Genomic DNA, 23865 nt, shown 5'->3' on the forward strand with positions numbered 1-23865 from the left:
AAGTGGTCACATTTCCTCACGGCAACAATCACCATGAGGAGCTGGCCATGTACTCTCTGGTCAGCCACACTCCCCTGCCCCTCTATTCTCTTCCAACCAGGCTAGTCTCCTTCATTTACTCTACGTGTATAGACCTTGATGGGTTTTCTATTATGTTTAGTTGCTACCTCTTTCTCTAGAGTCTTATTGAACTCAATGATGACTTGCCTGAGAGTTGCAAACCACTTCTAAAATGTTTAATATCACTTATTTTACAAATATAGACTACCTGATCTCCAGATTCTTACAGCTTACAACTGTCAGGCTCTTCAGAAAGCTCCTATATTGGTTTCCTGTTGCTATTGTAACTACCTAATGGAAAACCTAGTGAGAAAAGAATAGAAATTTATGATCTTACAGTTATGGATATCAGAGGCCAAGAAGGGATCTTTTTGGCCTAATCAACAGGGCTGCATTAGTTTCTGGGAGGCTCCAGAGGAGAATCTATTTTCCTGCTTTTTCTGGCTTCCAAGGGCCGTCCTTATTCCTTGGCTCATGGCCCCTTCCTCTGTCTTCAAAGCCAGCAATGACTGGGTGATGCTTGACTTTCTCATGCTGCGTCACTCTGACACTTACTCTATTGCCTCATTCTTCCATCTTGAGGACCCTTGTGATTACACTGGGCCCACCCAGATAATCCAGGGTAATCTCCCCATCTCATATTCAGTTGATTGATGAACTTATTCCCCCCTTGTCAAAATATATTCATGGGTTCCAGAGACATTTTTGAGTGGCTGTTATTGTGACTACCACAGCCCTCAACACTGTCACCAAGCCTTCCTTTCCTTGAAAGATACAGGTGAGCCAGGATTGCTGATTTATCCAATAGTGCTGCTACACATTTTCCTTCAGTTCAAAAACAATCCCCCAAAATGACAACTGAGTGTTGGCATCATAATGTTGTATGGGAAAGCAGTTTTCTCCTACATGCCTATAAATTCCAATGGACACTTTTTGCCATCTCTCTCCCCCCAAAAAAACACCATCAACATTTTGAATTGTTAGAAAGAAGGGAGGAGAAAAAGGAGAGCAAAAAAGAATGGCACTAGCTACAGTTTCAGGTGCAAATCCTCTTGGGGATTCTTTAAAAAGAAGAAATACTGAGGAGCATATCAAAGAAACGTTTATATTGCCTAGGGTACTCTAAGCCCTCAGCAAAGCTCCGAAGAATAATTCGGTCTGAGAGTAATCCTGAACTACTGAAGTCGCCCATGAATATTCCACCATGTTCTGTTCTCTATTCAACAGTGCTTTCATAAATTGCTCCAGGGAAGGTCATCTCACTTATCCACAACACCATCAGAATTAAACAGGAAACAGCAAACAGAATAGAGCAAGCACAGGTCACGTAAGATACTATCATATCTCTTCTCCAAATAGATCATCAGGGCATTGTTCCCAGTTCAAAAGGGAAAAAAGATGATAAATTAAATCCAATCCTGAAATATCTGTAATGAGCTAGGATCCAGACTTCATTTGCTACTTCATAATTTTAAGTAAGAAATCTTTCATGTTATATAATATGCTTAAAAATCGGTGAAATATGCACATATACATATATATGTATACGTATATTTTTTTTCTTTATAACCTTTAGGGAATTTTACAGTGCAACAAATAAATGCTAAATATATTATTGCATGTTTTAATTTCTATCCCAGTTCATTTCTTAAGTCATAGACAAAGTTAGCTAGGTAATCTGGTTCTAGCTCTGAAGGTGGGCAACATGGCCAACCTTGCCCTCCTTCTTGAAACCTTTCCAATCTTTCTGGAATCAGCTTCTTTAATCAGAGTCTTGTTCTTTCTACTTCTAAACTTTCTCAAATATTCCTCATTGTCTACATTTCCTAGAATTCATTTTTATAACACATCACAGCTTTAAATCATTATCAGGGTAAATTTTTGTTTACCCTATGAGGACAGGGACATATCTGTCTCTTTCTCCCCAGCTACAGCCCTGTGCTTCTGCATAGCTGGCTCTCAAACATTGTTGAATGAATGAATGCTCCCTACCCCTATTTGTCTTTTTGGCATGCCTTATTTGTACCAGGCACTATTTTAAGTGTTTTGCATATATTAATATAATTCTTATAACCAATTTTATTATGTAGGGATCATTATTTTACAGATAAGAAAATGGGCATAGAAAGGTTCAGTAATTTTCACATACAACAGTTAGTAACAGATATCATTTATTGAGTACTTAATTTGTGCCAGGCAGGGCTGCCATTAGCTACCCAAAGTGACTATGTGTAAATTTGAAAAAGATGCCCCTTTTACATGGATAAATTACAAAAGGAGTCTCTTCCCTAGGCACAGGGCTTATCAGTGAAAGCCAGTTCCTACCTGTACTGGCCCCTCAACCATGAGCATTTTTGGAGGGCACAGGCTACACAAAATACAGTGTATCTAATATCATTTCTTTTATAATATACTACCAGCTGGGCATGGTGGCTCATGCCTGTAATCCCAGCACTTTGGGAGGCTAAGGTGGGCAGATCATGAGGTCAAGAGATTGAGACCATCCTGGCCAACATGGTGAAACCTCATCTCTACTAAAAATACAACAATTAGCTGGGTGTGGTGGTACGCGCCTGTAGTCCCAGCTACTTGGGAGGCTGAGGCAGGAGAATCACTTGAACCTGGGAGGCGGAGGTTGCAGTGAGCTGAGATCGCGCCACTGCACTCCAGCCTGGTGACAAAGCAAGACTCCATCTAAACATACGTATATATATCTCCTGATTCCCAGATTTTTACAGCTTACAACTGTCAGGCCTCGTCAGAAAGTCCTGTATTAGTTTCTTATTGCTGCTTAACAAATTGTCACCAATTTAGTAACTTGAAGCAATACAAATTTATTATCTTATAGTTATGAATATCAGAGTCCCAGAATGGGCCACAAACTGCTCTGAGCACTAAATGGTGATAAACCCACAGCAACCCTATGAGATAAGCATCATTGTTATCATCATCCTTATTTAACAGAAGCAAAAAACAAAGGCCAGAGAAGAAAAGTAATGGCTCAGAGCTTCCCAGCTATTGAGTGACACAGGTAAGACTAAGCCCAAACATTGTGGCCCCAGAGCTCACACTCCCAGCATTACTCTATAGTGAACTGTTTAGCCGGGGTTCCTGTAACAGCCTCCTACTCCCTAGTCTCCAGGCCTCCTAACGCATCCCACACTTCAATCTACTACAGAAGCCACAGCGAATTTCCAAAGATATCAATCTGCTCATATGTCCTTCATGTTTAAAACACTCAGTAGCTCTTCCATTCCCCTCCAGGTAAAGTCAAGACACTTGCCTGTGGTTGAATAGGCTCTGGTGATGTGATCCTGGTCACTCTTCATCGGCATCTCTGGTCCTTCCCTCTGCCTCTACCCCTCACTGCACACAATGACATAACCATAGCAAACATTCTGCTCAATACATTCTCCCATTCCCACTTGTCCCAGGCCTTAGCAAGTGATGTTCTTTCCACCTGGAAACTTTCTCTTCCGCCTCTTTGTTGACTATCTCCAAATGATAAGTCTCAGCCTAAATGTCTCAACCTCTGATCCATGGTCCTTCAACACTCAGTCTAAATTGGAACCCTTGATAGAGCCTTTCATCACAACTTGTGTTTTCCTTTATAGCAACATCGTACGTATGCATGTATGTAATTATTCAGTCAACACTGACTTTCACCAATAGTAAGTTTCACGATGGCAAGGACAGTGTCTATTTTGTTAGTTAACTGTAAACTCAGCTTTTAGCACACTTCCTGGTAAACACAGGCAACCAAATATTGTCCATGTGCCTCCTGTGAGCTCACTGTGCTTCTCGCCTATAGCATTCCTCACAATACAGTTTATTGTCACTGCCTATTTCTGTATTCCCCATTAGATTTCACTATTTTACACACTATGAGGACAAAGACTATATCTGACTTGGACCTCACTACTGAACCCCCAGTATCTAGCACAGAGTCAGCATATCGTGGACACTCAAACATTCCAGAATAAATGAATAAACAAGCATAAACAACTGGCCCATTTGGGGTAACAATCCTCTTTATTACTACTGCCATAAATCAGATCAAGGGATTGAAGGATTGTTCTACTTTAACCACTTTAAAGGAATAGAATCTATTTAGAACATTGAGAGAAAGCTATCAGCTTCAAATTCTGACCAAATATTGTTTATTAGCCAAAACAGACAACAGGGCCAACTCAGGCCTCGATAAGAAACAATCCATGAGTTTAGTCAAAGATCTCATGAGTGACCACTCAGACAGAAAATTTGGCATCTACCTGCCAACTCCTACAGAAACCAAGAGCCAAGAACTGCAAAGAATGATCCCAGAGGTAACTGACTGACTGACTGTACCTACCAGTAGTCATTATATTACTCCCCGTTAAAGGCTTAAAGGGAGGTCTTGAAGACAAAAATTTATAATTAAATGACGTTTCATCATGCTGAAAGGAGAAAAAGATATATTCAAATGGAAAAAAAAGCAAAGGCAAAGTAAAATATATTAACAGGATCTGATGAGACTACAGATGAAAAACAATTCCTGAAAAAGATGATCCATCTTCTCAATGGGAAATACATAGGTCTTTTCTACACATAGTATTTAAATGAAGACAACATTAATGTCTCTTTCTGACCTGGCTCCAGAAAGTCTGCTCACTCTTGGAAGTGATGACTACATCCTTTGAGTGCTAGAATAGAACTATATTGTTTTGTCCAATGGGTGAATCATAATTGCCCAGTTGGATATGAAGGAATTTTAGAGCAATCTTGGAGCGCATAAATATGAAGCAAGAACAGTTCTGTTATGGTAATGATAGTAATCCCAAAATGCCACAAATACACTGGTATTTCAATAAATTAATAAGAATATTTCATGGTGACATGAATGCCCTTGTGTCTTCCCACTAGTAAAGGGGACACATGTTGGGTTGATCAAACTTCATCTTCTCTATAATTTAAAACCCTTTCCAACCACAGTGCAATTAGCTCCATACTCTACTCCTAATACCAGGATTCCGAACATAAGGATCCAAGTTTACCTACTTAATTTACCTTCGTTCAATATCCTCTAATCACCTTTGCCATGTTTTTCAACATCTCATTAGTGCTGAAATTAATACCTTAATATGAGTGACACAAATTTTGCTCTGTTTGGCTTATTCCCTCAGTAATCTAGGAACCAGCCCCCTTGACACAAAATAGAAACATAAGTAAAATACTTTTAAAAGAAAAAAAAGGGCCAGGCATGGTGGCTCATACCTGTAATCCCAGCACTTTGGGAGGCCAAGGTGGGTGGATCACGATGTCAGGAGTTCAAGACCAGCCTGACCAACATGGTGAAACCCCATCTCTACTAAAAATACAAAAATTAGCCAGGGCATGGTGGTGCCCATCTGTAATCCCAGCTACTCAGGAGGCTGAGGCAGGAGAATCACTTGAACCCGGAAGGCAGAGATTGCAGTGAGCCTAGAGAGCACCACTGCACTCCAGCCTGGGCGACAGAGCGACACTCCGACTCAAAAACTAAAAAGAAAAAGAAAGAAAGAAAGAGAGAGAGAGAGAGAAAGAAAGAAAGAAAGAAAGCAGTATGTTGCTGACAACATGCACAGTGGTTCCACTTGCTTTAAAGCTGTTATGCCAAATTTGACTGAGCATTTACTCCCCACACTGAAGCACCTCCCAGGCAGCAATAAAGGTCCTACATACATGGTTACCCTGCCTTGGACAATCAAAGCCCTATTGCATGCCTTTCTGCTCTTAACTATTGTGTGCCTGCTAATAGGCAATGCTCCCTATTGGCACTGAATTTGGAAGAAATTTCTTGTGGAGCAGTTTTTAAAACTGTAACCAGGAAAAGAAAAAAAAAAAAACATTAAAACCAATCAACCAAAGAAGTCGTTTTGGCTATTTGCTGCATTGCCAGGGACTAGTTTTTATTTTTAGAAACACTTTCATGAAACAGAGCTTTAGGTATTTTTACCAAGTATAGCTGATCCAGTTACTTTTCTTCATTCTTATTTCCGGTATATTTTTAGCCGCAAGAGTTACTTTCTCTGGTAAAAGAGGTGCTGTCCCAAAAATAAATAAAACTTGGGTGGACAAAAAGGACATGGTCCACAGGTCTATTCTTGGGAAGTGCAAAGCAGCTCTGAGGACCCAATCTCATGAAGCTGTCCTCAGCCACAGACATCTAAAGGATGCAGAGGAGCTAGTTGACTTGGTAGCCCAGCACTTGAAAATTTCTAGAAAGCAGAACCAAAATAGCATTTTTCTCCTGCTGCCCTACAATAATGTCCATGCATATGATCTTTGTGGGGCCTACAGGTTCTTTGTAGGAAGTCTTTTAGTAAACAAAACCCCAGAAGAAAAGCCCCCACCACACTACTCAGTGCTTTAATGAGATTAGAAAAAGACACCTCTTTCTCCTCATCCCATCTCAGGACTTGGCTTGTGAGCAAAGCATGGACTGGGTTTCAGCCTCCCTTCACCCCCTTGGCCTGACGTCTCACTGTCATTGAATAGCACCTGGATTTCTTTGAAACACTGGGACAATACTTCTTCTTACATTAATTGATTACATGTTTCAGCCATGACCACAGGTAAGGTACCTGGGCTCTGGAGAATTCAAAGGTGAATGAAATGGTAACTATCTTCAAAAAAGAGCCCTCAATCTCAGTGAAAGTATGAGCAAAGGTATAAAAGGTGCTAAGATAAAATGTGCCCGATGCTGGTTAATTTTATGGTTTCACTTGCGTATAGGAAAGTCATGGGTGATTGAGCTTAAAAATGAGCTTACGTGACTAATCAAGAGAAGACCATGATACGGCAGTTATAGAGAACAGAAATGGTTTGTCAACACTGAACTTTGAGGATGTGAACTTAGTGATGGTCAGCAGGATAGATTAGTGTATCCTAGCTGGCCTCTCTGCTTCCAGCCTCTTTAGATACTCTAATGATCATTTAACACAGAGGCTAGCTAGGAAGTTGATAGATTATATTACTGCTCAAACATTCCAAGGGAATAGTATACATCCCTAATCCAATAACCTCAGGCTGGGATGTGTCACTTACTTTAGACAATAAAATGGGAATACATAGTATATGCACCACTTTCAAGCAAAATTTTAAGAGCCATTTTATGGTTCTATAATACGCTCTTTTCTTTTTGCCCCAATGTCCCGATCAGGGCTGTTCCTTCAGTCGGGGTCCCAGAATGATTATACTTTGGAGCAGAGCTGCAGTCAACTCATAATAGACAAACGGCAGCATCAAGAAATAACTCTCTTGTTTTAGCAAGTGATACCAATTTGGAGATTGTTTGTTAGCGCAGCGTAACATCCTAAGTTCACTGATATGGGAAGCTAGTGCACCTTGAAGGTGAACACAATAAGGTCTTAGGCTAAACATAAGAAGTGATATTGGATAGAAAAGGGCAGAGATAATAAAAATCACAACAACGAGAAATCGACATCACTTAGTATTTATGTGTCCAGCAGTATGTTAATCACATCTCATTTAATCGTCTCAAAGGCAGAACTCAAACACATATCTAACACCACAGTATGTGCTCTGAATTTTCCCAGTAACCAACAAAGCTTGGTGATTTTTCGTGCATGTGTAGTAAGATTAACTCAGCAAATCTAGGTGGCTCAAGCCCTGCACATGCCCAAGAAAAACCTCTCTTCAAGACTGAACTTAGGCCAGCTCCTGAGAGTAAGCCTTGAGCCACAGGTATATTCTGCCTGGTAAGAGTGTTGTATGCCTCAGGCCTTGGAGCATGTGGTACCAGTTTGATCAGATAGTTTATGCTAACAATGTGATGCATGATGGCTGCCTGTTCCTTCTCTGAGGAGCTGAAGTCTGAGTAGCTGAGGTAAGTCATACAGGTGCTGCATGACTATGTGGCTGGCCTCCATTAAAAACATCAAAGCTCAAGTGTTTCCCTGGTTGACAACACTTTGCATATGTCACACGGTATTGCTTGCAGAATTAAGTGCATCTGTGCAATTCTACTGGAAAAAAACTTTTAGAAGCTTGCACCTAATTTCTCCTGGACTTTTCCCCACATATCTTTTGCTTTTCAGATTTTAGTCTGTATTCTTTCACTAAGTAAAACATAATTGTGACTATAACAACTTTTCTGAGTCCCATGCATCCTTTTAGCAAGTCTGAGGGTGGCCTTGGGAACCCCTGATACAGTAGTGTACATGAGACAGGTTAATGTCAAAGATGACACCAAATTTCCAAGGCCAGGTGATTCAGAAAATGGTAGTTTAGTGAACAGATACGGGAAAGTCAGAAGGAACTGGTGAGCTGGGAGGGTGGGTAAAGAAAGAAGCCGAGGAAGCAAGTGGAGGATGGAAGGTAAATTTGGTAGCTGACATTCAATTTGACTTCCATATCCAGGTAGGAACATCCAATGGGCAATAGAAAATGTACAACTGGAATCTGTGATGAAAGCCCAGAATGGGAATATAGTTAATGGTTAAAACCATGAGAATGAATAAGGCACTGAGGAAAAGATTAGAGAAAAAAACAGCAAGGAGTTGAACACAAACTGTGAAGGATGAAACTTGGCTGTCTACATATGAAAAAACAATGAGAAGGAAAACAAATTTTACCTATTTTCAATTCATCATGAAAGATTCTGTTTAATTTTATATATTAAGCTAGTTATACTGTATACTTTTCACAGGAAATATTTGCTAAAGAGTTTTTTCTTGATACTAAATAACATTTTAAAATCAGCTGTATTTATTTCCTCATTGAAGCCTCATTTTAAGGGCATTTAGAAGTTTGTCTTATGAGCAAAATATTCAGATGTAATTATGATAAGCATTGAAATATATATATATTTATATATGAAATAGTTTGGAGTTATTTCCAAATAAACTGGGGCAGAGAAAAGCCCCAGTCATTCCTGATGCTACTTCATGTATCTATGTGGCTAACACCAGGTCTATTTCTATATGTTTATTTGCGGTTTTAGCTACCCCAAAAATTAGGGTCAAAAGAAAGATAACAATAAAGTCAGTCAAGGTCCTATGGGGTTTCATTTCACTTAACACATTTCTATTTTTCTGCATTTTCTTTAAATGGCAAACAGAGCTAGACACCAAGAGCATCGGACTCAACTCAAGCCACTCACTTTTGTTTCTGCTTCCTCCAGAGGTGATTTTTTAAAAATATTCTCATGTGCTTTTAGACTTTTATTCTTCTATGGAAGAACATGTTTGATCATTTCAGAAACTCCTTTAAATAATGTTGCTGTCAAAATCAGAGTTTCTGGCTGACTTCCCCCATTTCACCGGAAGAGGCAGCCCCCCAAGTTTATGACCTCAGGTACTTCTTACTGAAGTTTTAGAAAATACTGGATCTGCCTTCACTTTTCGTTTTCATTTTCTTAGCCCTACTCTTTTGTGTGAGAGAATACATGTTTATGGCTATCTTTCAAAGAGATTTATGAATTGGTTCTAGGGCTGCATATGAGACAGTGAGCGCTAGGGAAGTCAGTTCTACAGCCAGTTGCACCCTGCTACACTTCCTTCAATGAAGAGTTCCAGTCCATCATCTTAGGGTCAAGTTGTTGAGAAAGTCTTCAAAGTGTAACATTCAAACTAGTGTCTCAAAAGCTCCCCCATGTGTGCGCATGAAAAATAACTCATCAAGGGAAAGTTTCACTGGAGTACATGCAGAATAAGAACAGGGACCAATTTTCAGATCTAAAAAATGTAAGATACAAGAAAACACCACATTCTATAATTATCATTTTATTTACATGTGTCATGTTTAACATCTAAAAGAATAATTAGGTGGGCTGTTTTGTACAGATTATAACATTAGCAAATGAAATGAATGCACTAAAAACAATTATTTTTCTGTAAAAGGTATGAAAAAACAGGGCAAAAAAATGAAAAACACTTGGAATTTTTCCAACCATAAGTATACTCAAAAAAGAAATGATAAGCCCTCTGAATATAGTAACTGATTTATGTTTTAGCCCAAGAAATGAATTCTATGAAAATAAACCAACCAAAACATTAGTTGTACTTTCCAGAAAGCAATTGCCTAATGGAAATGCCTTCCATTTCTCCTTTTAGCCCATTTATCTTTCCCTTAGGGGAAAACACACTACAGCTAAGACTACTGTGTAAATCAGCTACTTCCAAGCAAAAGGTGTGCTTCCCAGAATATTAAAACTAAGGCTGGCTTGAAAGATGTTCTATTCTAACCTCCCTCTTTTATAGGTGAAGAATGTGAACTCAGAGAGGTGAATGGACTTGTCCCAGTTCAGAGAGTTGGCGGAAAATTTGAGAGCAGAACCCTAATCTGTTTTATAGTTCAATCATTATCACTTTATACTATTCTGCCTCCCAGTTTTTAGTAATAGTAACAAATTATAAATAGAAAAAATACTAACAAATATTTCTAACGCTAAAATGTGCTGATCATTTACTCTGTGCCATTTAAAATGCCTTTAAATACATTATATGAATTAGCTCATTTGGTACTAAGAATTAACTTCTGAAAAAAAGTTGTATTCTCTCCATTTTACAGATGAGGAAATCAAGGCACAGAGAAGCACAGTACCTACCCAGGGATCTTAAAGAGTAAGTGTTGAAGCTACTGTAATAGCTAAGCAGTCTAACTCTACAGACCAGATTCTTAACCACAAATAACTAAATAGTATAAAGAAAATAGAATTGTTATTCAAAATTCAAAGGGGCATCAGCTATGGTATTAAATCTTATCTTTTGGCAACATAAAATTGAAACCTGTGATAATTCAAACAGAAATAGGGACCAACTTGAAACTAAAAAACAGCAACTAGCTTAAAAGAAAAACCCTTACCTAATTAGGTGAACAAACTTGAAGCTTTCCAAGTACTGAACTTCATACAAATCATACAAATAGAGGGGCAGCATTTTTCAGTATGGTAACGCAAATCATGCCACCCTATAATTAGAAATTATTCTTACCTATTCATTAAAGCAATCCCTGTCCTAGGCAATTATTGGTTAGCCTAGTTTTCAAGTAATAAAACTAAATGTCTTAAGTGGAGGTAATCTCTACTACTTTTCTAATTGATCCAAATTAGTATGAACTTCTTAAATAAACAATGACCACTCAACTTCCAAATCCAATGGGAGCCTGAAGTCTGACCTTGCCAAGCCTCTCTGCAGTCTTTGACTCTGTTTGCTTCCTCTCTCCTCCTGACATGATTTCCTTTCTTGGCTTCTACGACATCACTCCCCTGGCCCTTGCCTGGTGCTACAGATCACTCCTTCACTGTAGCAAGTTCCTCCTCATCTATTTGATTGTTAAAGGTTGGTACTCCCAGAAGTTTGTTTCTGTTGGGTTCTTCCTACTCCCCATCCCCACACTCAGCTTGAGTGACCACAGCCACACCCACTTCTTCTACTACTACTCAGGGGCTGATGCTCAGCTTCCAAACTGGGGTGTCGCAACTAGTCCTCTTCCCCAATGCCTACACTGTCCATGGAAATACCTCAAATTCAGCATAATCAAATCCAAATCCCACACATTTCACCAAAAATCCTATTCCTCTTCTTGTATTCCTTATTTTGCTTAATGGATCCCACCAGTCAACAAACCTAAACCTTGAATCATCGAAAAGTCCTTCCCTGTCTCCCAGAATACATACAGCTTGGCCATAATTGCAACGAACTGTGCTTTCTAAATTGAACCAGAGTCTTCCACTCTCTCTTGCATTCTCATGAAAATCATCCAGACTCCGCCTTCATTGCCACTGTTCCTCCACAAGCCAAAAACCTGTCCCAGATTGGATTCCACCAGAAGTAGAGCCTGAGCTAAGAATTTAAGCATGAGTAGTTTTTCGAGAAGGGATTCCAGGAAGCAAAATGTAGGAGGGTATGGAAGAATGGCAAGTATGGGAAGGAACAATACTGGTGTGTAAATGACCAGACAACTGCTGTGATCAGGTGAGACTCAATGTCACCGGGAACCTCCAAGATATTATACAAAACCTGCTGCAGACTCATCCTCACCAGGGGTGAAGAATCTGAGCTATTCATGCATCATTGTCTGAGCGATGCTCTCAAGGATGTTAACTTCTGGTGCTTTGGGCCTGCCTCATTACAGTCTTGCAAACTTGTAGTCTCTGAGACTTGTAGCTGTTGTCTTGTACAGTAACAGTGACTGCCAAGGGAATATGAGAGGGGCACTGGCAACACTTGCCACAGAAACCTTCCAAGGCTCTCATAAAATCCAAGTGCCTCTGGTGCAGCCTGCAAGTCATTCCATGACCTGTGTCCTACTTTCTTCTCCAGCATCATTTCTCAGTCTTTCTGGTCTAATATTTATGTGCTATAATCCTATCAACCTACTAACGGTCCCCAAGTCCATAATGCTATTGCCACCTCTGTTTTGTACTTACTACTCCCCCTTCTCAGAATGTCCACCTCTGTCTCCCAATCCTATTTTCATCTACCTGGAATACACCAACTTTTTAGGAAGATACAGCTCTCAGATCTCTTTCTCTCTCAAGAGCCTTCCCTCAATTCCTTGTACCCTAGCTGGGCACTTCCACCTGTGCCACTGCCCTGCCTTCTGTCTCTCTCATCAAATTGCACAGTAGTTGTTTGTGCACATGGCTACACCAGGCTGCCAGAGTGTGAATTCCCAACAAGAAAGGACTCTGCATAATTTGTCTCTGTTTCCCCAGCACCAAGCCCAATGCAAAAAAAAGAGGAAAAATTAAATAATAATAATTCCTGAGTTATATATTATACAAAATAAATAATAAATCTGTAATTAAAATGGCAAACAACAGCCAGACCAAGGAAACTTTGGAAAAAAATATATAGTAATTTTCCCTTTAGTACGTGCTTTAAAAAAAAATGACTAATTAGGAATTTTGCTTTCTCTACCTATGAGCTATAAATCAATTTTTTTCACTCTGCTTCAGCTTCTCAAGCTGTGTGCCTCTTTATTAGCAGTGATTTCCTTAAAGGGAATCAAATGCTTAAGAGCCCCTAATAAATCCTTATGGATTTAATACATTCATGGATATTTTGTGACCACATTTCAACCTCTCTAACTCAGAGTCTCTTCTATGTGCCTGACAGTGAGCTGCCTTCACATTGAACCCAATTAGATACTCCTAAAAGGAAGAAACACGTGTTGTAATTGCCCTCCTAAGACTCTTTGCAGGCCCCTCTAGGTCACTTGCTTCCGTTCCTCTGCAGGGGGGTTCTGCCAGCTCCAGCACTGATGGGCAGAAAGCCAGTGCAGCATTGGGCAGGGGCAGCCCTGCGCATGAACTTTCACTGGATCCATCACAAGCAATGCATTTATATGCAAATATACCCAAACCTGAATAATGATTAAATTCGGATTCTGGGAACTTCCTGGAGACAAAAGAGGATGAAAAAGGAGAAAGAAGTAATGAACTGTATATCTAAAGGCTTCTAGTTCAAAACTGACTTGATGTACATTGATGTGAAAGCTAAACATATGGTAGATATCTTTGATCTGGGATCTGTGACACAGTTTGTGCTTGGCATCTGTTGTTTGTGATTTTGTGATGCATTGATCACTGTCACCATGTCTGATAGAAACTAAATTGCCTTCAGTCCATGCAGACGTGATTGCTGCTTTTACTCTCCTGCCCATTTGCATCCTTATAGTTTCCCAATGGGAAAGAAAAATAACCACAGTGGATCAGGTTTTAACATTGGGTGTTGCCTCTCATCACCTGTGTTTTGGATTTGCCCTGGCCAACACTAGGATTCTTTCATCTGAGATGATAAAAATCTACCAATGCAGTAACAAGGACAAGGTGATCTGTTACAGAAAAAGCAAAGAAGGAAACTTGGAACGTCCTGCTCATAAGTCAGGTCTGCAGTTCATGTTTTATTTCACATTTGCAGACCCACTGCAGGCAGCCAAGGAGTTGCTATTTGAAATGTTTTGCTGACCTCATAAGAAACAATGTAAATAGACTTTGTATCCCAATGACGTCAATGTTAGAGCCAGTATCCATGTTCTTTTCTATTTTGTGAGACTTTTGTGTATATTGTTTCCAACTCCCTGTGCTCACCAGCAGTGTGTTCTGTTTTGGTGTAAACTGATACCAATCTTTGCGTGTTACCATTTCTCCTAGTTCCCCTACACTGACTATAAAATGAAGGATAACAGAGGGTAAAATGTAACATGGGTGACAGGGGCAGAGATGCCTGTACTGACCCCCTCTTTCCACTCCTATACCCTTTGGTGCTTTTTCCCTGGGGACCTTGTTCTAGGGTTGTTTTATGGACAAAACTTTGCCCTTAAAGGTCTGGGCTTCTGTGTCAGGAAAAGCTCTCTCAAACCGTGTTTTTCCTCTACTCTCACGCCACCACAACAACAGTCATCAACACAGAAGAAGCCTTCTGTTACCCGAAGTGTGGAGTTTTGCCCCCACACATCAAGCAGTGGACACCAACTGGGGGTCCTCTAATTCAATTCTGCCACTATCTACCTGGAGATAGCATCAGATCCCATAGGTTGAGGGCTCAGTCCCAAAGATGCTTCCACCTGTAGACACCAGTCAGAAGTCTGGTGTCTTTTGACCAACCAACTTCAAGTTGGGGTTTCCATGACCCCTTCTTTGGGTTTGATTAACTGGAATTGGAAGCAGCTCACAGAACTCAGGGGAACACTTTTACCCTTACCAGTTTATTATAAAGTATATTACAAAGGATACAGATGTGTAGGGTGAGGTATGAGGGAAGATGCATGAGCTTCTGCGTCCTCCGTAGATGCACCACCCTCCAAGAACCTTCACGTGTTCAGCTATCTGGAAGCTCCCCAAACCCAATCCTCTTGGGTTGTTATGGAGGCTTCATTACATAAACATGATTGACAACCCTGTAGAAATGTGATTGGACAAAAAGTGCATGATCTAAACCCATCAATGCCTATCTACTCAGACTTTTCTTGGCCTCTCTGTGTAGCATTCATTCCTCTTAGGTATAGAGCAGGACTCTTTCTGGAATGAGGGTATTTTGGTTTTTTGGGGTTTTTTCTTTATTTTTTCTAAAAAAAAAATGGGATAAATATGCAGAACGTGCAGGTTTGTTACACAGGTATACATGTGCCATGGTGGTTTGCTGCACCTATTGACCCATCCTCTAAGTTCCCTCCCCTCACTGGTGTATATTGTTCCCCTCTCTGTGTCCATGTGTTCTCAGTGTTCAACTCCCACTTGTGAGTGAGAACATGCGGTGCTTGGTTTTCTGTTTCTGTGTTAGTTTGCTGAGGATGATGGCTTCCAGCTTCATCCATGTGCCTGCATAGGACAGGATCTGGAATGAGGGTATTTTGACCGACAATCAGATTAGAGTCCTGCCTTGGGCAAGTGAAAGGAGGACAGGAGAAGGTTAGAGGGAAAGATTCCGTTTCCTGAGGCCTAAAGTGCCCCAACATTATAACAAGGATTATGGGAGCTAGAAGCCAGGAACCATGGATGAAAACAAGTATCTATATCATAACACCACAGCGACCTAATTAAGTAATCCATTATCAATAACGACAGCTAAAAATTCAACAAATATTCATTGTGTACCTCTTATGGGCAAGTTATGGCTTTTCTAAGCATATTCACTTCTTTTTTCTTTTTTTTAATTTCAACATTCCTTTGAGGAAAGAAAGGACAGAATTTTAATCCACATTTTGCCATCCAAGAAATTATGATATAGAATATCATATAGATATAGAATATGATATAGAGAGGTTTTACACTTTATCTCCAATCAAAGAGCAAATCTATGAAAGGATTGGAATAAAATACAAGTCTAACAATAGAAAGTCCAGTGTCTTCTCCCTCTTCCTTCCCTAAGCTTACACCAAATTGCACTTTATAACACAGTAGTGAGAAGAAATTCTGACCACAGAGGTTCTCAGCTTGGAGTCTATGCCCATGGATGGATGTAGAAGGTATTCAGACTCTTGAAACTGTATTCAAAAGGTTGGCATATGTGCATTTTTCGAAGGAGAGAATAAAAAAACTCTAAATGATTAAAAAATTTTAATCATATGATTTATATTTTATATACTTGAATAACAAAGCAACCTCAATATTGCATGAAACCTGGTATTTCTCTTTCCTAGTCACCTAAAATGCACCCTGTTACAATCGTTCACATATAACAAGCTACCTTAAAACTTAGTAGCTGAAAGTAACAACAGTGATTTCATTTTCTCACAAATCTACAATTTGGGGAAGGCTCAGAAGGCACAGCTCATCTCTGTGCCATGTAATGTCGGCTGGAATTGCTTGACAGGCTGAAGGATCTGCTTCAAAGATGACTCTCACACATGGCTGACTGCAGTTTCCTCTCCATACGGGCCTTTCTATGGGCTTCTTCACAACATGTTGGCTGGGTTCTGGGAGCAAGCCTCTCAGGATACACAAAGTAGAAGCGACCCATTTCTGAAGGTCTGCACCAGAAACTGACACCTCTACCCCATCCCATTGGTCAAGCAGTCACAAGAGGATACAAGGGGAAGAGACATAGACCCCATTTCTTGATGGAAGGAGTGTCAAAGGATTTTGAGGCCATGTTTTAAAGCTGCCATATCCCTCTGGAGGCATCTTATTTCTTCCTTTGGTTTACTCCATTACTATTCTCTCTCGCTCTCATAGATCTTTGCCATGTTAGAAACCAAGCTCTAGCATCCCTCCTATTTCCCACTTCCCGGGGCAAGTGTGTGGCTGTTGCAGCCTACTGCTGCCAATTGGCTGGCCCTTCTACCTACATCTCTCTACTTCTTAGCTCTGGGTGTCCAACCCATGCAACTTCCTCCCTTCCTCCCCTGCTGGAGTCACATGAGGAGCTCTGTGCAGCCTGCTTGTTTAAAGAAATGCTAGCCAATAGCTTTAGGGGGATAGTGGTGGTGACTTCTGTCTAAAGGCAGAGAGATCAAAGTTATTCTGCAGTAGTATATTAAATACGAGCCACGTGCAGCAAGAAAAAGAGGCCAACCTTTGCCAACAGTACTCTGTGACCTCTGGTTGAGTTTAGCGCAACCCCAATTCTGCCTGTTTCCAGTCACTAACCAAATTCCTTACCCTTTGAAAAGTAAGAGGTATTCAACATTCAAGGAAATGCCAACCAGGACTTACATTGTTTGCATCACTTTCCCCCATTCTCCTTATTAATTAAAATGACTGATCCATAAAATTGGTTATCAGCACTGAAACACTCTCTGATACTCTCTGCCTCCAGCTCCCTTAGGCTGCCCTTTGGAAATGGTCTGCTTTTTCTCTGCAGTAGAAATGATAATTTAAAAAAAAAAAAAAAACAAGAACCACCAGCTGAGGAGAAAATCTCCAAGGCTTGGCCTGAGGGGGAATATAAGCTACTATTAAAAAAATCAACCTGGCACCTTGGAAGTTTTACCTACATTCTCACCTATTCACCATCTCCCATCCCTCCCGTGCCAGGAACCCTCTGCCCTCAGAGCCTTTGCATTTCCTTTGCTTGGGATAGAAAGTCACTGGCTGTTTCTTCCTTCCTAAAAGAAGTCCTCGGGTCTTTATTTACATATCACCTTCTCAGTGAACCTGCCCTAGAAGCCCCATCTAAAATTTACAAACCTAATATAAACATGCACACATATACACATGCATATTCACACACACACACTGCTTCCTATCACTGTTACCTCCTCACAGTTTCCTCATCACTTATCGCTATCTAATATATGATGCATTTTACTTATTTATTATCTTTCCCCTTCTACAATGATAGCTTCATGAAGGCAAGATTTTTTATGTCTTGTTTACTGTTTGGCCTAGAACAGTGACTTGTACCAAGTAGATGTGCAATAAATGTTTATTAATAAATAATTGAATAAATGATTGATCTAACCTATAACATCCCCACATGGTGATCACAGGGGGCTCCCAGTCACACTGTCTGCTCTGAAGGTAGATAGCTATAAATCAGGCTCTAACAGCCACCCCGCAGATTAGTTTCCTACTGCTACTTTAACAAATTACCATTAGTGGCATAAAACAACAAAAGTTTATCATGCCACAGTTCCATAGGACAGAAGTCCTATGAGTCTCAGTGGGCTAAAACCAAGAGGTTCATAGGGCTGAGTTTCTTTCTGGATGCTCTAGGGGAAATTCTCTTTCCTCGCCTTTTCCAGCTCTAGAGATCATCCACATTCTGTGGCTTGTGGCCCTTTTTTCCATTTTTAAAGAACGCAATGTTATATCCCTCTGACTACTGCCCCTTAGTTTCCTTAGTCACAATTCCCTCTCTTTTCCTGCCTACCTTTTAAAATATTGAATTGGGCCCACCAGGATAATCCAGGATAATCTCCCTATTATAAGATCATCTGATTAGTAATCTTAATTCCATCCACAATCTTAACTCTCCTTTGTCCTATAACGTATTCAAAGATTCCAGAGATGAGAACATAAACCTCTTTGGGGGCCATTATTCTGCTCACATCATCCTCTTGAGCAACCTAAGAAGTGATAAGGCCTCTCTCATCAATTTGATAGCTGTGATGTTCCATGTTTAGCCCTTACCTTTAGTCCTTGTTGAGGTATAGTACAAACTTCCCTGGATTGAAAGGCAGAAGATATTTCATTCAAGACCCTTCTGAAACTGTTGGTTTTATAACCTGGGATGACTAACTCAATCACAATTACTGAGACTCCATATTTTCAACAGAAAAGTAGAGTTAATAAAACCTACTGACAGGACTATTATAAAATGAATTGTGGAGAAATCTTTTTATAGAACTTTCATACTTCACACAGTGTAAGGAATCATTGTGAATAGAGATCTCTAGGACCAAAGATACCCTGAGTTTGTACTGATGGTTTTTATTGTTTTGCTCCTCAAAATAAAGTACCACATTATCACTTGCAAGTTTGAACAAATTACAAACTGAAATTGGCAATGTCACACTCAGTCCAAGTCCTATAATACCATTACATGATTTACTGATGACAATATTGTACAGACAATCCAACTGTGAATATGATTTTTGTTTTTTCTAGTTGAAGTTTCTTCATTTATTTGTCCTCAGAAAAACGACATTGAGAAACAGGTAAGCCTCACCTCTTTCATTTGGTAGTGTGAGAAACAATGACTGTAGTTAATTGTATATTTCCTTCTAGGCTCCCTCAGGAAGAAAAATGTGCCTCATTCACTTTTGTAACTCTGGTGCCCAGATTCTTGCCTGGCAGAGATACTCAATGAATATTTGTTGAAGTAATTAATAAGCTAATACACCAATATTTAATTAGAGATGCACATTAGGAAATTGTCCATGCTGCTGCTATGTAGCTATAAATCCCTTTCCATCTTCATTTTCTAGCCTTTTGTTAATCCCACCCTGAAATTCCCAATATCAAGGGGAAACTGGCCTTTGCCTGACCTCTGGAAAGCCATTTAAAAAAAAATTTAAGCAAAATTTCTTTAAATGGGGAACACCGTACTCCAGTTCATGCTTCCAGTTACCACTCTCATGATCAAACATTTCTTCCTAGAGTTCCCCTAAGAAGGATACCACAGGGAAGATTGTAAACTTCTTATTCAAGTAAAAGAGGTGAAGATGTGCAACACATTTAAACGGGTTCTTCCCCTAAGGAAGGTGTAACTATTGCTTCTACAGGGAGCCAGGGAAGATTTCCTTGAGGCTGAAAAATATGCCCAGTAAACAAAGCTTTGATTGTGAAACTTCAAGTCTCTGATGGACTTTTTTTGAAGGAAAGCTTATAACAGAGGGGTCAGTCAATGACACACCACCAGATATGTTCAAATAAATCAAATGCTTATACCAATTCCACAACCTGCTTTTGTGAGCCTCAAGACACAACCAACTTAAACCTCCATAAGGTGGATGTGTCACACATCGGAACAACTTCATAGGAAAACAGTGAGAACTGGGCCCTTACTGATTTCACATTGCCTGATTTGCCAAGAGAGGAGAAAGGCTTTTCTAAGCCAAGAGAGTCTTTAAGCATCGCACATTGTGTCCAATACTTGAGGTGTGACAGTAAGGGTCTAAGAGGAAATAAGTTTCTTTTTTCCTTTTTTTCCCCTTGAAGCTGCAAGATTTATGAAGAAGAACCTTCAAGTTTTATGAAAAAGAACTCTATAAGTAGCCTACTACAAATAAAAAACACTACCAATTTAATCAAGAAGTTCAAGGAATAAGATATGTTTGTATTGCATTTCACTTAAAATACTCTTCAATTTAAAAGGAGGACTTGGCAATGTGAATTTTGCCAGCAACAAAAAATTCAAATTCAACAACCAATTCCACAATAATCATTTTGCCACACTCACAGCAAATATCCCTGGATTCACTCAAACTTAATACTGCAAAGGTAGCACTTAAAACTCTTTTCACTTTAGGTACCCACTGAACACTGAGGTGGCCAGAGTAAGTAATAAACTCTTGGTGATAATGAATGGCTAGTCCATTTTTCTTTGCCAACATACAATAGATTCTGGTGTGGAAGAAAATAGTTTCACAGTAAAACACTAATTTAACTCTCTTAGGGTACTAATCTATGTGTTGAAAAAGAGGTTTCATTGAATGTTTTCCTGAGTTATATTCCAATTATCTACAGATTTACCTAAATTTTCTAAATCCATGTGTATTTTCTACTAATATAACCTCTTATTTTTTGCAGCTTAAGTGCTCAATAAAGCTCTAATTAGCAAAAGATGAAATATGTTTCAGTCATCTGGATTTTTATTCAATCTTATTTACATGAATTCAAATCTATATTCTCCCCAAAATTTCGACAAAATTCACCTTTGTCAAGTAGGTCTGTCCTATACTTTTAACATGAAGACTCCAAAATATGCACACAAACTAACACATACAAAGAATTTTTTGGCACAAATGCTAATTTTTCCTACACAAGGTCACCGTTAATGAACTGCTTTCAAGAATATGTAAAAAGAGTGGAGAACAATATATTTTAAATTATAGTGGCAGCTCTTGCCTCCTTTTAAAGTTTTCTCCCCATAACTTGGGTTTGTAGCACTGAAATGGGGATAAGAATGCTCACAGTTATTGTAAAGTTAATTTAGGAATTGTGTTTTTATGAAGAACTTTGAACTCGAGGTTTGATATGTTGAAAATAAAATGTATACATTTCAATTGCCTATCGATTTGTCTATATTTTCTGAATCCATTTGTATTTTCCACTAATATAACATTTTATTTACTGCAGTTTTAAGAGCTAAACAGAACTCTAATCAACAAAAGCTAAGTTTCATCATCTAGACTTTTATCCTATTTTATTGACTTCAACTCAAATCTGTGACCTCCAAAATTTTCCTTAGTAAATTCAGGTAATCACTCAGTACAAATGAAGTAAAGACTTTCAGTTACCAGATACTAAATTACAATTTATAACTTGTCTTGTCTATTTACATATGTTTAAGATCTTTCTTCAGGGATGGAGCAGCAGTAATGACATTACTTTGGCAGAGCTCATGAATCTACATTAATATCCTCTCATCTGGGGTTTTCCACATCTTGCTCCGGTACAAACATTTTCTTGATGGCAAGAACCAAAACTCAGCAACCCAAGGAATTCTTGCAGAGAAATATTAGCTGTCTCACATTTTCGCCTTCAGGGTAGTTCCAAGAGCTAATGTCTAAGGCTATACTAATACTCCTAAAGTGACCCACCCGAGCCTAGATTTTCTTCAAATGGCTCGGTCCCAAGACCTTCCTCATGCTCCATCTTAATGTACAGGTGCGGTGGGATTCTCTTAAACCAAATCCAATTCAACAAAGAGGTGATGCTGAGTTGCATAAACCACCCCCCTCCACCACTGAGTTACAAAAATAATCGTACCAGCAGAAATCTGACAGCCTCCATCTGCTGAATAACTTGTTGAAAACCAATCAACCAGAGACCACTAATTATTCTGAGGTCTTTTTAAAATGTAAGGTTTTTTTTTTAATTTCTGGAAACTTGACTGCTATTATTTAAGATGGCCCATTCAACAACAATGGTTCATAATTATATCTATTTATTTTGACAGTCCATAGCTCCTGATAAAAGGCCATCTGCAACATTTTCAAATTAAGGATTTTTTCCTACAAAGAACATTATTATTAACAATGTGAAATATTGAAGCTTTGGAAGGGAAGTGTAATCAAAGACCACAACATAAAATTCCATTATCACAGTGTCTGGTTTTGCCTCTGCTTTTTCAATTTAAAGAGGAAGAACTAGAAGTAAATGTAATAAGTAGTGAGGCAGAAAGGATGAGGGAAAGGAATTGCTGAGTTAGACTGAAAACATCTCAAAAGCAAAGATTACGCCTTTTATTTCTCTTTCTTTTTCAAAATACAATGCATAATCTACACTGTGTTCTGTTAATAAAGGGTGCCAAGATAGAAGAAAAAAAAAAAAAGCAAACAAGCCAAACTCCCCTTCAGAACTCCTCCCTCCCCGCTCTGCATCTCTCTACCTTGCTTAGGTGCCCATTCCATGAGTTGTTTGAGCCCCCTAACCAATATCACACCGCTTAAGCCTGCCCATTACCACCACCAGGGGACCATGTAGAGTGGTCCAGGTTGTTTACCACACAAAGGTACTCCGCTCAAGCAGGCATGTGATAGCTAAAACCCAGCCCACGGTTACCAAGAGAATCAGCTACTAGTGCCCAGCTGGAACAGCCTCCTTGGTTGTTTTGTGGGCTTCTTTGAGAATACCAAGCTGTGTGCACTGGTACAGGGCTACATCCACCCAAAGGGGGCACTGCTCTTTTCTGTTTTGCATAAAATAACAGCTTTATCCACTGCGCATGTTCCCAAATTTTCACACTCACTCTTCCCACAAAGGAGCAGATATGTTAAAATAGATGATCCTGAGAGTTTATTATTAGACAACATTTTGCAGATGGTGGAGTCTAATGAGAGGAGTAAAAATAAGAAAAGCCTCCTGTGTCTTCCTTTATGAAGTCAGGAAGGTGAACTGGGTTGGGCTGCTGCCACCTGGGAAAGACCCTGCCACATATTTCTTTGGCTTCTTCCCTTATTTTCTTACGGGTCTTCTTCTCATGGGGCTAGAAGGAAAGTCAAACCAGGGATTACCCCATCTGAGAAGACCTGTTCCCTCTCTCTCTGGTTCTATATTAACTTTTAACTCCTTTTTTTTATTCTTTTCTCTTTTTAGAGACAGGGTCTTGCTCTGTTGTCGAGGCTAGAGTGCAGTAGTGTGATCATAGTTCACTGCAGCCTCAAACTCCTGGGCTCAAGGGATCCTGCCTCAAGGGAGCCTGCCTCAGCCTCGTGAGTAGATGGGACTTCAGGTGAAAGCCACCATAACAGGTCTGACTCCTATTCAAGGCTGGAGATTTTGCCCCCAGACAGAGAAGACCCAGAGTTAGGTATCTATGCCAGCTTGGCCTTAGACAACAGGTAGATCTGTGTTTCCTTAGTCTTAGGCTTGCTTCTGCTGACTTGCTGGCCGACTTATCCCAGGCAGACCTTTCCTTTCCTTGAAAATTAAAGCCTTCAACAGCCAAATTCAGACGTGGACCTCAAGGTAGGTTGGGAATTGTATGGAAACAAAGACGAACACTAGGTCATTCTGACTCTTAGCCCATTTTCCGGCCTCACAAAAGAAATTCTTCACGTGGTCCAATGCAAATTTTTAGGATCCCACATTTACTACTAGCACTCACAGTATTTTTAAATGTGCATTTCCCTTACAAATTAAAACTGCAATGAGCTATCACCTCATATCTGTTAAAACAGCTATCATCAAAAGACAAAAGTTAGCAA

The 23865-nt window shown here is 39.7% G+C and overlaps 1 protein-coding gene across 11 annotated transcripts in view, besides 1 other annotated feature; it reads right to left on the reverse strand.

The window, feature by feature from the left end:
* Window positions 1-23865, reverse strand: part of PDE4D (phosphodiesterase 4D) — a 1553091-nt gene that overhangs the window by 1404243 nt on the left and 124983 nt on the right. The window lies entirely within an intron of this gene.
* Window positions 6668-6717: an enhancer, noted in NCBI's record as "active region_22584". NCBI's record gives its function as "activates an Ori minimal core promoter by ATAC-STARR-seq in GM12878 lymphoblastoid cells {active_cell/tissue: GM12878}" and the evidence as "EXISTENCE:reporter gene assay evidence [ECO:0000049][PMID:35858748]".

This window comes from Homo sapiens, chromosome 5 (genome assembly GCF_000001405.40).
Source record: "Homo sapiens chromosome 5, GRCh38.p14 Primary Assembly".
Classification (NCBI taxonomy): Eukaryota; Metazoa; Chordata; class Mammalia; order Primates; family Hominidae; genus Homo; species Homo sapiens.